Source organism: Homo sapiens, chromosome 4, assembly GCF_000001405.40.
Source record: "Homo sapiens chromosome 4, GRCh38.p14 Primary Assembly".
In the NCBI taxonomy this organism is placed as follows: domain Eukaryota; kingdom Metazoa; phylum Chordata; class Mammalia; order Primates; family Hominidae; genus Homo; species Homo sapiens.
This window is the reverse complement of record NC_000004.12, coordinates 42,495,823-42,509,656: the sequence shown is the minus strand read 5'-3', so window position 1 is coordinate 42,509,656 and position 13,834 is coordinate 42,495,823. Positions and strand designations below refer to the sequence as shown.

General features: G+C 38.4%; 1 protein-coding gene and 1 long non-coding RNA gene across 13 annotated transcripts in view, besides 1 other annotated feature; one reads left to right on the top strand and one right to left on the bottom strand.

The window, feature by feature from the left end:
* The window catches only part of ATP8A1 (ATPase phospholipid transporting 8A1), a 248,733-nt gene that overhangs the window by 147,449 nt on the left and 87,450 nt on the right, over positions 1-13,834 (top strand). For 6 of the 12 annotated variants that reach the window (XM_047449508.1, XM_011513616.3, NM_001400025.1 and 3 more), the window contains 3 exons: positions 2,503-2,641; positions 6,143-6,207; positions 6,833-6,853. In XM_047449508.1, coding sequence (XP_047305464.1) covers positions 2,503-2,641; positions 6,143-6,207; positions 6,833-6,853 — 225 coding nt within the window. The remainder of the gene's footprint in view (positions 1-2,502; positions 2,642-6,142; positions 6,208-6,832; positions 6,854-13,834) is intronic. The other 6 variants (NM_001400027.1, NM_001400026.1, NM_006095.2 and 3 more) reach the window with 1 other exon arrangement.
* Positions 7,455-7,955: an enhancer, noted in NCBI's record as "OCT4-NANOG-H3K27ac-H3K4me1 hESC enhancer chr4:42503719-42504219 (GRCh37/hg19 assembly coordinates)". NCBI's record gives its function as "activates a minimal SCP1, AML or CMV promoter by ChIP-STARR-seq in primed H9 embryonic stem cells {active_cell/tissue: H9 hESC(primed)}" and the evidence as "EXISTENCE:reporter gene assay evidence [ECO:0000049][PMID:30033119]".
* Positions 10,241-11,413, bottom strand: LOC124900698 (uncharacterized). Its single transcript, XR_007058107.1, has 3 exons — positions 11,357-11,413; positions 10,414-10,553; positions 10,241-10,322 (listed from the first exon to the last, which is right to left on the bottom strand). It is a non-coding gene; the product is annotated as an uncharacterized LOC124900698 (long non-coding RNA).

The following is a 13,834-nucleotide window of genomic DNA, read 5'->3' as shown; positions in this document are numbered from 1 at the left end:
ATGGTCTCGATCTCGTGATCCACCCGCCTAGGCCTCCCAAAGTGTTGGGATTACAGGCATGAGCCACCGCGCCTGGCCAAGAAACAATAACTTTTGAGTTTGGTTTTAGAGGATGAACCAAGTTTCACCAGGCAAGGCAGTGGGGGACATGTGTGTGTATCTACTTAGACATACATACTCATGTATACAAAGACAAATACTATGCATGTGCGTGCCCATCCTGTATGGCCGCTATAGCGGGGACTGTTGCCTGGCCAATTTAGCACTCATTCCCATCCCCCTTCTTCCTCAACAGCTCTACTATGGAGCCTGGAAAAGCTAAATACAAATAGTTGGGGTTAGCCATGTAAAACTATCTGGCCGAGTATTTGGAAATATGCTGAGGGCTTTTCAAAACACTTTGCTTTTCATGTAAGAGATAGATACAGTTGGTATTTTTGTCTTCTATATGGCCTTTATAATTATACCTTGGGACATTGGGAGAGGTCAGGAGAATGAGTTGAGGTATGGTCGAGCTACAAATTTAATGTCCACAACTGCCCAGTTCAGTACTACGTAAGTGAGGAAAATTAATTTATTTAAGCCATTGTTAGATTTTTCTATTACTTGCAGCCAAAAAGCATTCCAAACTAATGCAGGTATAAATTACATGCATGCATATACACACACTTTCTCTCTCACTTGCATGTTTGTATATATAGTTAACTTTATTGTTCATGCCTAAGCAAAGCTTGAGACTAATTTTAGACTTCAATTTTGGTGAACAATAAGGAAAAGTAGAAAATGGCTTTCTTTGTTATCACCAATTCTGGCTTACTTTCCCTTGCATTCATTCCCTTGCATCCATTCTGCCCTCACCTATATTTTAAATGGAAAAAAAATGAAGGCAAGAGAGGAGAAAATGATTGAGAAGAAAGATAAATGCTGACGAGGATCATGCTGGAGGTTGAAACAGGGCAAGACTGAGAATCAGTTGGTTGTGGCCTGCAGAGCACTGTTAAGAAGGGTACCCAGCTAGCAACAGTGCCTAGTCATGTGATGGAAATAAAATTTTATATCTTAATCCATCACTACATTCTTATGTATTTAGGACCAAGAACAACATTATCTGTGTCCATTTGGCAAACCAGGTTTCCCTAACAGCCAAGAGATTGTTCTCTCCCGCTTACCATCTCCGTTTAGGAAGATGAGAGTAGAAACCATTCTTTCTCATGAGAGATTAAAACAGCTTTGGCTGGGTGTGGTGACTCATGCCTTTAATCACAATACTTTGGGAGGTCAAGGTGGGCAGATCACTTGAGGCCAGCAGTTCGAGACCAGCCTGGCTAACATGGTGAAACCCCGTCTTATACGCAAATTAGCCCAGTGTGGTGGCACGTACCTATAATCCAAGCTACTCTGGAGGCTGAGGCAGGAGAATCACTTGGACCTGGGAGGCGGAGGTTATGGTGAGCCAAGATGGCACCACTGTACTTCAGCCTGAGCAACAGAGCAAGACTCCATCTCAAAATAAATAAATAATAAAAATAATAACAGCTTTCCCCAGAGCCCATTGGTTGTGTTTGGTCTTATGGTACAAGACAATATCTAATGAGCAAGAGATCTTTGAGTCTGATCTTCCCCTACACAAATGTGGAACTATGTGAAAAACATTCAACTTGTTCTTCCTTGCAGAGACTAATACTATCACTTTGTTGTTCTTTTCCTCTTGGTTTCTAATTGTGTATACATTTCCTGACACTGCTTCAAATTACAATTTAATAGTGTTAACATGTAACCTCACTGTTTTTAAACAGGTCAGCAAGATTGCATCTTCACTATGGTAGTCTCCCATAGCTGTTTGTATGTTTTTTTTTTTTTTTTTTTTTTTTTTTTTAGAATGCCTGTCCTTTTTAACTGACTTTTTTTTTTTTTTTTTTTTTTTTTTGAGATGGAGTCTCGCTCTCTTGCCCAGGCTGGAGTGCAGTGGCACGATCTCAGCTCACCTGCAACCCCTGCCTCCCCAGTTCAAGAGGTTCTCCTGCCTCAGCCTCCCGAGTAGCTAGAATTACAGGCACACACCACCATGCCCAGCTGCTTTCTTGTATTTTTAGTGGAGACGTGGTTTCACCATATTGGCCAGGCTGGTCTTGAGCTCCTGACCTTAAGTGATCCGCCAGCCTTGGCCTCCCAAAGTGCTGGGATTACAGGCGTGAGCCACCGTGCCCAGGCTGTTTTTAACTGACTTTGGATTTTACTCCCCTTCTATGCAAATTTATTTTAGAATCTGTTCCTTACCTTAGGGGTTGGGTTAGACAGTTTCAGGGAGCCTCAGTGTAATGCCTAAAGACTGCATGAAAGTCAAGGATATTTCAGAAAACTCAATGGGATAGTTGGAATTTACACCAAAGTCCATGAATTATCATTTAGTCTCTGATTTTAAAACATATACACACTTCAATTTTTTGTTTTTAAAGAATATGAACGGATTTTTAAAACATTTCTACCACTAATTTTTTTCAGAATCTTCAGCTACTTGGAGCAACAGCCATTGAGGATAAATTACAAGATCAAGTGCCTGAAACCATAGAAACGCTAATGAAAGCAGACATCAAAATCTGGATCCTTACAGGGGACAAGCAAGAAACTGCCATTAACATCGGTAATTCACCTAGTTCACATTTTACATGTTGGTGCTTTTTAATAAGTTAATGTAGTTCAGAAGATGGATTTGAGACATTTCAAGATCTAAAAGATTTGATATGTCAAGATTGGAATATTCCAATCTTTTTTCACCATTGCATCTCTGCCTCCCATCCATAAGTGGCACATGTGGATAACATTTCTGCAGTTGTCTGGAGATTGGGCTTATGGAAGATTTATGTATTGATACTTGATTATGTGACCAAAGGTTATTTTAAGATAATAGGAAAGAAGAAGGTTGCTAATTTGCATTCATACTATGTTAATCCCCATGTTTTGGAAAGAGTTTATAATAGCTCGGGCTTCCATAAGAGCGTACCACACACTGGGTGGCTTAGGCAACAGAAATTTATTTTCACACAGTTCTAGAAGCTGGAAGTTCAAGATCGGCTGTCCTCACGTGGCTCCTCTTCTGTGTACTACTCCTTATGTCTCTTCCTCCTAAAACATCAGTCCTATTGCATTACAGTGCTGTCTTAGTCCGTTCTGGCTACCATAACAAAATACCACGAGCTGGGTGGCTTATAAACAACAAATTTATATCTCATCGTTCTGAAGGCTGAGAAGCCCAAGGTTAAGGCACCAGCAGATTTGGTGTCTGATGACCACTGGCCTTCTGGTTCATAGATAGCACCTTCTTAACTGTGTTCTCACATGGTAGAAGGGGCAAGGCAGCCCTCTGAGGCCTCTTTTATAAGGGCACCAGTCCTATTCATGAGCTCTCTGCTCTCATGACCTAATCATCTCCCAAAGACCCCACCTCCTACTGTCACCATACTAGTGACTGGGTTTCAGCATATGAATTTGGGGGGAACACAAACATTCAGACCATAGCAGGCCTCACCCTTATGGTCTCATTGAAACCTAATTACCTCCTTAAAGACTATGTCCAAATGTAGTGTCACTGGCGGTTAGGAGTTCAGCATAGGAATTGGGATGAGTGGTGGTAGGGAGATCAATTGAGTCCCTAACAGAGATCTTACACAGGGAAAGTTGTTTGGCATTGGAAGCCTGTAGTACCAGCAATATGCCAAAAAAGAAAAAAAAAGTTTTTTCACCAAATTTAGTAAAAGTAGGTAGCTTGAGCACTATAAACCCTGACATGGATTTATCCTCTTGATAGTAATCATATATATTACATACAAAACTCCACCCAAGTTGAAGGAAGTATTTTAGAGGAGTTCACAGCATGAAACCACATTTTTTAGAAAGCCATTTTAAAATATTGTGTATTTTTTAAAATTTAGCTAACATTTATTTTAGAAGTATTAGCAGTCAGCCTAACATATCCTGTAAATATAAAACTCTACTTCAAATTTATAGCAAATTGATGTTATTAATAGAAAATTCAGTTTATTTTTTAAAAACTAGTAGAACTTTACAAACCACACAAGTTGTTAATTTTGATTGTAAAAATTATCGCTGCTATTAGAGAGAAAATGGAAAGAATATATATGAGAAGGAAAATAATGGTGAAATGCAGAACATATTGAAATTGGGAGACCTAAAAACACAAATATGATAAAACAGACTACAAATAGAAAATATATGGCAATAAAGGGCAGTAAATGTGGAAAATAGGAAAATGTCAAGTTCAGGATATGTTCACCATTATGAATGTTCCTATGAAAAAAGAGTATAGTAGTGGTTTCTGGTAACATTTAACATTTAGAATCTTGAGCCATGATTGATTCCTAGAAAAACTTAGGGAAGATTCACCCATTCAGCATAATTGTGGTATATACAGTGCCAGGTACTGGTTAAGTGCAAGGAACAGAGCAGGGAACGAAAGAACCCAAAATCTCTGCCCTTGTGGAGCTCAGATACTAGTCAGAGAAACGCACAGTAAAGTAAATTAGAAAAGCACATAGTATAATAGCTATCAATGATTGCTATAAAGAAAACTAAAATGGGAGGGAAACACAGGGCATTGCACAGAGGGATTCAGTTTTAAATAGCACAGTCAGGAAGAACTTATTGAGAAGGTGACATCTGAGGAACAACCTAAAAGAGGAGAGGGAGCTTGTCGCATGATGATTAGAGAAAAGCTGTCTTCTGTTACAGAGAGAAACAGCACAAAAATAAAAGAAAGAATAGTAGCAGAAGAGATCTTCAGCATAGCAGTGTCCAGGGTGGACGGGGCCTCCCAGGCCACTGTCAGGACTCTGCATTTACTGCAAGTAAACAGGGACATCACTTGATGGTTCTCAGCAGAGGAAAGACATGCTCTGACTTTCCTGTAAAAACAGTCACTCTGGCTGCTAGGCTGAAAATGGACTCAGAGGGAAGCAAGTGTAGAATCAGGGAGACCAGTGAATAGGCTTATTGCATTAATCCAGGGGAAATATGATGGAGACTTGGACCAAGGTGGTAACAAGGGAAAGGGTAAGAAGTGGTTGGCTTCTTGATGTGTTTTAATGGTAAGAAGTTGTTAGGTTCTTGATGTGTTTTAAAGGTAGAGACAACAAGATTGACTGATAGATGTAGAGTATGAGAGAAAGAAATAGATCAGGTAACTTCGAGGTTTTTGGCCTTAGCATCCGAAGGATGGAATTACCATTAACCCAAATGATGAAAACTGAAGGGAAAGTAGGTTTTCTTGATGGGGGCTGGAGGAGTGTGGTCAGGAGCCTGGTTTTTGAGTAGGCTGACTTTGAGATGATGGAAATGCCTACTTCCTATGTAAGTGTCTGCGGTTAAGTAAGTACTTGGATATGAGAGTCTGGAGTTCAGGAAGGAGGGCTGAGTTGAACATAGGAGTTTCAAAATGGTCAACATTTAGATGATACATGAAATCATGAGACGGAATGAGATCACAAAGGCAGTGTACTCACATAGTGGAATTATTTTAAATAGGATGGTATTTTTAAAATGTGACATCAGCAGAGTTGCCTCTTTAGACACAGTCGGCTGTAGCAAACAGGTACAGAGTAGGCCAAGTTGAATTGAACAAAGGGAGGATTTTTGCCCTGCAGTAAGTGCAACAAAGCAAGAGAGGGTAGGAAGGTAGAGGATGTACTGATTCTCCCAGGAAGGGAGATGGTGATGGGATCAGCGGATCCAAGAGACAGCCACCTGCACCTTCCCTAGGTGTCTAGAGAAGGGTTCTGTTATTCTATTTTCTAGAAACAATCGTTGGCCTGTCTTTTGCTCTTCATGTTGGTTATCATGAAGTGTATTACAAATCCATTTGTCAGCTTCAGGACATCGAGAATCCTTACCACCATCTTTTTCCAGATGTCTTTGTAGCCTTAACAGGCCAGATGTACTTGTTGCATATCCCTCCTATGGCAAGCAAGAGCATTTCATGTTTAACTTCCTACAAACCTGGAAAACAACTGGTTGCCCTCAGTCATTATAAAATCATCTTTAGATATTTTCATAGTACATATCATTGTTTTAACATCTTTACATATTCTCTGGAGAAATTAATTTTAATATACTCTGTGTTTGGATACAGGACACTCCTGCAAACTGTTGAAGAAGAACATGGGAATGATTGTTATAAATGAAGGCTCTCTTGATGTAAGTAAAATTATGTATTTTTAAAACTCCTTTAATAATATATTCATGCTATAGTATTTTATATTCAGATAGCTATGGAAATATTTTATCTTTCTGTGGTTCAAGGTACCTTATCACTGTTGTTCTGTTTTAACATAATGTACTCTGTTTTGAGTCACATTGATGTAAATTGATTCAAGCTTTACATCTGTGACAGCTAAAAGAAATTGCAAAATGATTTGCGTAATATTGTGAGACAGAAAAGTTGTTTTACAAAAGCATTATGTCAAGAGGTTGCTGAGTGACTGCAACTTGCTCATATCCAAGTATTCTGTATGTTAAACATTTTACATCTGCTTTAACTTCCAGTATTCATATATATTTTACCTCTTCTAAAAAAATGTGAAAGCTATTGAACAACACAAAACAACCATTCCTAGTAGGACGGACTTTCTTTAATGTCCTAACATCTGGAATGAAATGTAAATCCCTAGGATGTCTTTTTTCATGGCTGTGATCACTTGATGTTTTATTTGGGAAATGAGGAAAGATTTGTTAGGAATACAGTGTAAAATAGTTAGCAAAATAATATGTAGGTCAAGTGACCTGTTAATATTAAAGTAAAGGAGACTATTTGTTATTTTAGGTGGAAGACAGAGCCGTAGAGGTGATTATACAACTTCTTAAAATAGTCATTATGACGCAAAGAACAGAGAAAACCTTGGTAATTAGGGATGTTGACGAAGCTGAGAGGCCACATGCGTGGAAGGGATGGTGAAGAAATGACTGCAGAAGGGATGGTGTTGATGTCTTTGTCAGTAACATGGGTTACAGGTGGTGCACAGTTTTTCTTAATACCTGAAGGAAATCAGAGCTGTCTCTGTGATGCAGAAGCAAAAGCAGGGCAAGCCACGCGTCATTTGATCTGGTATCCTTTCTGTCTGGCTTTGGGCATTTACCTTCCGTAGCGTATGGTAGCCTTGCTTCTTTTGTCTTATTCTTGCCATCATCTTTCTCCAGTTCTTGGATAAGCATGTTCTTTAAATGTTTTAAGTATCAAGCAGAGAATAGTAATCTCAAGAAAGAGAAGTGAAATATCAAAAATATTCATTGTGTTGTACCAGTGTATTGTTAAGACACTGGCATTTATTTTCATTTTTGAGGTTTCTAAGATGGTAACTCAAAATTAATAAACACTTCAAAGGTACTTGGACTGCCTGTTTCTACCAGAGCAAACATTGGTAGGAGTCTCAAGTTGAATACTAAATTTCAGTAAAAGCAGGAACTATGTCTGTCTTTTCTGGTTTATCATTCTTTTTCAGTGCCCTGCAAATGGCCTAGCACATAGTAAGTACACTATAAATATTTGAGAAGTGAGTCACTGAGTAATTTTTAATTAAGGGCTTCTTTTTTGAAAAAAAAAAAGTATATCAGTTTTAAATTTGGTTGTTGTTGATCATATCTGATATTTTTTAAGTAAAGTGGCTAAAAGTCTCCTTAGCAGTTCGAGTAGCAGTTTAAAGATCACAGGCAAACACTGTGGCTGAATGGATTAACACTAATTTGTCCAGCTCCAGACTGCCAGGCATTCTAACACTGCTGTCTGGGGAAGGCTTTTCTCCCAGGGAGTTAAGTGGTGACTTTACAAATCTGACTGTTTAGGGTCAGACCTGCTGCAGTGTACTCATTTGTTTCTCAGCAGGAAAGGAAACATCACTTCGCGTAGCTCCTTCCGATCTTGTGTCATAAAACCCATGGCTGAGATTTCAGGCAAATCATTAGATGTGCTAGAGTGCCTGTAGGTAAATCATTATTTTTTCGTTGATATGGAAATGGAACGCATCCAATCTGTGTTCAAATTGTACTGATCAGTAGTGAATAGAATTATTTTATCAGCACAAAGAATAATTAGCATTTAAGTAATGAACTTAGGAATATAATGTCTTAGGAAATGTGAATGTGTGTTTTGTCAAGTGACAATTTTAATGAGTGCACTCAAATCATTCTGTGAAATAGCACAGGGTGAAGAGCACAGTTCTGTCCCAATCTGACTGTGGGACCGTCAGCAAATTAAAATCAGCTTCTCTGAGCCAGTTCTGCTGCCTACAAAGTAAGGAGAATGTAACCTTTGGCATAGGATTAGCATAGTTAGCACAGTACATGGCACATGTAAAAAATGAGATGTTATAAAATTTTGTAGAGAGAATATTATTTCAGTAGCTTGTAAGTTGTTTTGCATAGTGATCATTTTTGTTATAAGAAAATACTATTTCCTCATCTTTTACTTTTTTCCCTAAGGTGGCAAGTTACAACTGTAGGTTCTCTTTCACATAAGTGATACATATTGAGCATTTTTCTGTTCAGATTTTCTACTAAAATATTGTTCCTAAAGCTGATAAAATCCAAAAGCTGAATCTTTTTCTTGTGTTGAACTTCTATAATGTATCATATTTGAAGCTCTTAAAATTTCAGATAGAAAACCCTTTCTCCTAGTGATTATGATAATAGAAATCTTTGTCTTCCATAATCTAGATCACCACCGAAGAAATTCCACTGGGCTTTCTAATTTTTTCTTTTTGAGTTTCAATATGAGTATCCTTCTTAAAAAAAATAACTCTTCAGCATTTTTAATAAAAACATTTAAATAAATACATAAGACCAAACTACAGTTGAAAATACAATCATAATGGAAGTCTCACTCTACAGACCTGATAGGGAAACCTGACAGGTCTTTCTGCCTTGGTTCATTCTTGACTCCTTTCATAGCAAGAGCAGCAGCCCCGGCTAGAATGTCGTCCAAAAGCAAAGCCAGGTGTTCTCACCCAGTTACCCACCAGGCTCTTGTAAAATTGCCAGGATCAGCAGAAAGCTTGATTTTTTTTTTCTTTTTAGAAAAAAATTTCATGGATAAATGTAATTAAGAATCATGTAAAGTTGATCAAAACCTATTAGGTATTTCTGATAAATAATTTTTTAAATTTGAATAACTTTCTATAGTGCTGCTGTGAACTACTTTACTAGGAGTTCTGATTGTGTTCTCAATATGAGATTTCTGTTTTTGTTTTGTTTTGTTTTGTTTTGTTTTGTTTTGTTTTGTTTTGTTTTTGAGACCGAGTCTCGCTGTGTCACCCAGGCTGGAGTGCAGTGGCACGATCTCGGCTCACCGCAACCTCCGCCTTCTGGGTTCAAGCGATTCTCCTGACTCAGCCTCCCGAGTAGCTGGGATCACAGGCATTCACCACCACACCCAGCTAATTTTTGTATTTTTAGTAGAGATGGGGTTTCACCATGTTGGCCAGGCTGGTCTTGAACTCCTGACCTCAACTGATCCACCCAGCTCGGCCTCCCAAAGTGTTGGGATTACAGGCATGAGCCACTGCGCCCAGCCAAGACATTTCTTTAAGCATCTGCAAAGGCAGAAATTTCAAAATACTGATTTGAAAGGGGAATATTTTACTTCTCTAACTCCACAGCAATGCCCAGGAAATGTCCCACAGACTTCTAATTAATGATAAACCCTTATACCTAGTGATACTTTTGCATCTCTTTTATATCGTTTAGTTTGTTTTAATTTTTTAAAGTCTGTCTGTTAAATCTGGAAACATCTAGAATGTGAGCTAAGCACTAGAGAATCTCATACTGTGGCCCATCTTTGGCTCCCAGTTTCTAATTAAACTCTTTCGAAATGCACTGAAACAGTTCTGGAAGGATTGGGTTTATGCGATATTATTTATATCCTCCATGGCACATCAACTCCAAATCTCTGGAAATACTTTCAGGCAACCTAACATATTATATTTTTGTATAGGTTTGGTCTAAGTTTCCTCTTGTGGGAGAAAAATTTTGAAGACATGTTTCATTGAGATAGCTCAGGATTTCACCACAATTTCATCTAAATCTAGAGTGGGTGGGAGGGGCCATCATTTTTTAAGCCATTAACTGTGTGACTTAAACAGATTTTTTAGAGGTATCAAAATTGACTGTCTTGAGTCTCTCGTGATATACCCTTAACCTTGATCTCTCCTTCTGGCATCTCTTTTATGTGAGGAGTTGTGGGATCTGTCCCCAGAGGTAGAGCTACATCTCAAATCCATTTTTTCTATTTTTCATCCTCCTTTCTGTACTGCCAGGCTTTCCTAGAAAACAAAAGTGGGGTAGAAAGGGAAAATATACACTATACATTTATTAAATCAACAGGCATGATGTTTGGAGACATAAATTTCCTACCCTCAAAAGCTTGCAGTCAGTGTTCCCAAGCTTAACTCCTGAGAAGCCCTGCCACCTCTCCTTCTGATCATCCTGGCAGTTTTTCTAGATTGTCTCTGCTGTTGTTGATGTTCACCTTCAGCCTGATCAGGAGCCACCACCTAATGTATGAGAAGTAGTGTTTGGATCCTGCAGGAAAATGCAGCTTTCTGTGTATTTTGTACCAGGTACTAGATTGAGGACTTTATAGGGACAATCACATTTATACCTGAAACTATTAATTTATATGTTATAAGTAGATACTAGTATGCCCATTTTACAGATAAAGAATCTAGAAGGATAACTGGACCAAGCTCAGGTAGCTCGGCGGCACTGGGGGATACATCTAAGGAATTTGATTCCAGAGTGTGGGAAGCAAATAGGTTTTTCTAGCCTTCATCTACTACATTTGTAAAACAAGAATAATGAAAATGTCCATCTCATTTAGGGGTGGAGTTGTGAGGATTAAATACAACAATACCTGTTAAGTACTTAGAAACAATGCTGGACATCATCATCATTTTTTTTTTTAGTATTATTATTTCTAGAGGAGAGTTCTTCACTGCTGTCCGATGTAACAGATGACTTTGAACAGCCATTCTACTCTTAAATTACTTAAAGTTCTCTACTTAATTTGAGAATATGACCCCAAACCAGCTGTAGGTTTGATTATGGATACCAGTGTTTCACTTCACTTACATATTTTACAGAAAATGAATTGTTAGCCACATTGGATATTAAGTTAACAAGCATTAGAATATATATTTTTCAACACTGTGGTAAAAGAAAACCCTTCATGGAATTGCTAACTTTTTTCTAGCTGAATTTGACATTCTAACACCATGTAAGTTTTGACTATAACTTATAGGACATTCAGGACATAAAGGCTGAAGTTGTCATCTGTACCCTTTTAAGCTCAACTTACATGTATTATGCGGACAGACCTCACTGTTTTGGGAACGGGCCACTGTTGAATGGCTTCTGAAAGAAATCCAGAATAAGCAAGTTATTGACTCAACTCCAGAAAAGAAGGGAAAAAAGAGAATTTGGGCTACTTCAGGTTTTGTTTTGATATGTCCCATGAGTCTCATACAATATATTTTGTATTGCTTTGAAAATAGTTTAGGCAAGTTTTAAACCACACTGAGTTTTCCTCCACTGCCAGCATTGGTGCTTCAGTACTGTGAATTTTCTTTTACCATTAGCAAAGCTGTTTCAGCTTTTTGGCTTGAAATTTTAAGATCAAAGTTTAACTTTGAAGGTGTTAATGTATCCCTATCAGAAGCAAAGATATTTTTTTATAATGTCCTAATGCAAAAAGATTGTTCGAATATTGTCTGGCACACTGCTTACTCCAAGTAGCTCTCAGTAAAGAAAGCCAACTTTGTTACATTTGAAATAAATGGGTTAGTAAAAAGTGTAAACATTACCAAAAAATGAAAATAACATATGAACAAATAATCTGTTCTCCTTTTCCTGGATTTAAGACAGTGTCTGCTGCAAGCCAAAGTACGTGGTTGAAAAAGTTCCATCAAACCCATTGTCTGGGCTCATAGAATTAAATGTGTCCTTTTTTTTTAAACAAAATTCAGCGAGGCTGGCTTGTGCTGAGAACCTTAAGTGAGGTTGTTCACAAATTTATAGTGTGTCTGTTTTGAGAAGTTCTTCCACCCCTCAACCCTGAATATTCTTTGCCTCATTTTTGGCTAAATTTCTGAACTCTTCCAAGAGCTCCCTGAGACCTAGAATTGCAGATAAATGCTTTCTAACTAGTCTGCCCCCTTGCCATTCTCCCCCACAAGTTTGTTGACATTTCTGAGAGGCGCACGCCATGCCTCGTGCCCTCTTTGCATCTCTGCCACCAATACCTTCTGATGAGTCAGCACACGCATAAAATGACAGTTTTTAGGAAACCTACTATGTGCCAGTACGCCTGGTGTATCTGTAATCTGTGCTCCTTTAGAGCTGGTGGTGTTTGTCTCAGTTCCAGATAGAGACTTTGAGTTCCCATGTCTAGCAAGTGCTGGAATCTTAAATGTGAACCTTGATTGCTTGAAGTCCCAAACTGTTTTTGTTTGATTTTGGTTTTAAATAACCGTACCTTCTCCAGTGGCAGCAGTAACTCATTTGCAGAAAGAAATATTCCAGCAGCTATCTCCCAAACTTATTAACTTGTTTCATTTTCATTCTCCATCCAACACTTATCCCCCTTTCCCATTTTCCTACCTCCTTTACCACTCACCACCAGGACCACAGAACCCCTGAAAGAGGGAGACTCTTCTGGAATATGACAATGCCCAAATCTTGTGATTATGGAATTCTGAAAAGACCTCATATTTAATTTTGCTAATACAACTGTACATAAGATGTTATTGACTGTGTGTGTGTGTATATATATGTACGTATATATGTGTGGGGGGGGGTATATGTGCATATATGTGTATGTGTATATATGTGCGTATATATATGTGTGTATATGTGTGTATATATCTATATAAAATAATGGAAATTGTGTGCGTTTGGGATTTGCACTGAGAAAATATGGCAGATCATGATTCTTCTATTTTCTTACATTAATTAATTTAAATTATTTAGAAAATGGGCCCAACATTAGCTTTCTCTGTGGTTCTGGGTAACAATTTCTCACAGGCCCTAGTTGTTACCTTCTCCAAACTGTTGATTTGTAATTTGCTTATTTTGAGAAAGCCAGTTGTGTATTCTGAGCAGCCTCTTCCTGGCTGAATTGAAGGTAATGAGAGAGACTGGATGTCTGCCTACCCAGTTCCTCCCCGCGTGCTTTGCTTCTGCATTCACTGCTGCCACTGGAGAATATTTAATACCAAAGTCAAAATAAGTGTTTAGGAGGCTTTCAGTGGTGGTTTAAAATAATTACCATGGGGGCTTTGGTAAAAGCCTTTATCCAGAAAACTCTTTAAATTATATAATTATATCCCTTATCCCACTCTTCCTTCCTTTCCCTGGATTTGTCTGTCTTTGCTACATGTCCCCACCCCCGTGCTGAAACACAGACTGGACACAGATTCAGCACTTTGCTGCCTCTCTCTGCATTGTACCCTAAGTGAGACTAGATGCCTCGCAAGCACTTATTTGCCTGATGGAACCTATCATAATCCCAAATCTCAAACCTCTGTTGAGGGGCCAAGAGCAATTTACCCAGCACTACAACTTCCTCTTCCTACCTGCCTCCATTTTGTGACCCTTGACCTTTGTCAGATGGCATGACCCTTCTGGGAGATTGGACCACTTCCTCAATTACAGTATTCCATATCTACCCCCGTCCTGGGAAACCTATATTTGTGTATTAGCAAAGCATGGAATTTTTTTTCTCTTTTCCTCTCCCCATTATCTTTAGCAATATATATTGATTAAATGCGTTCGTTGG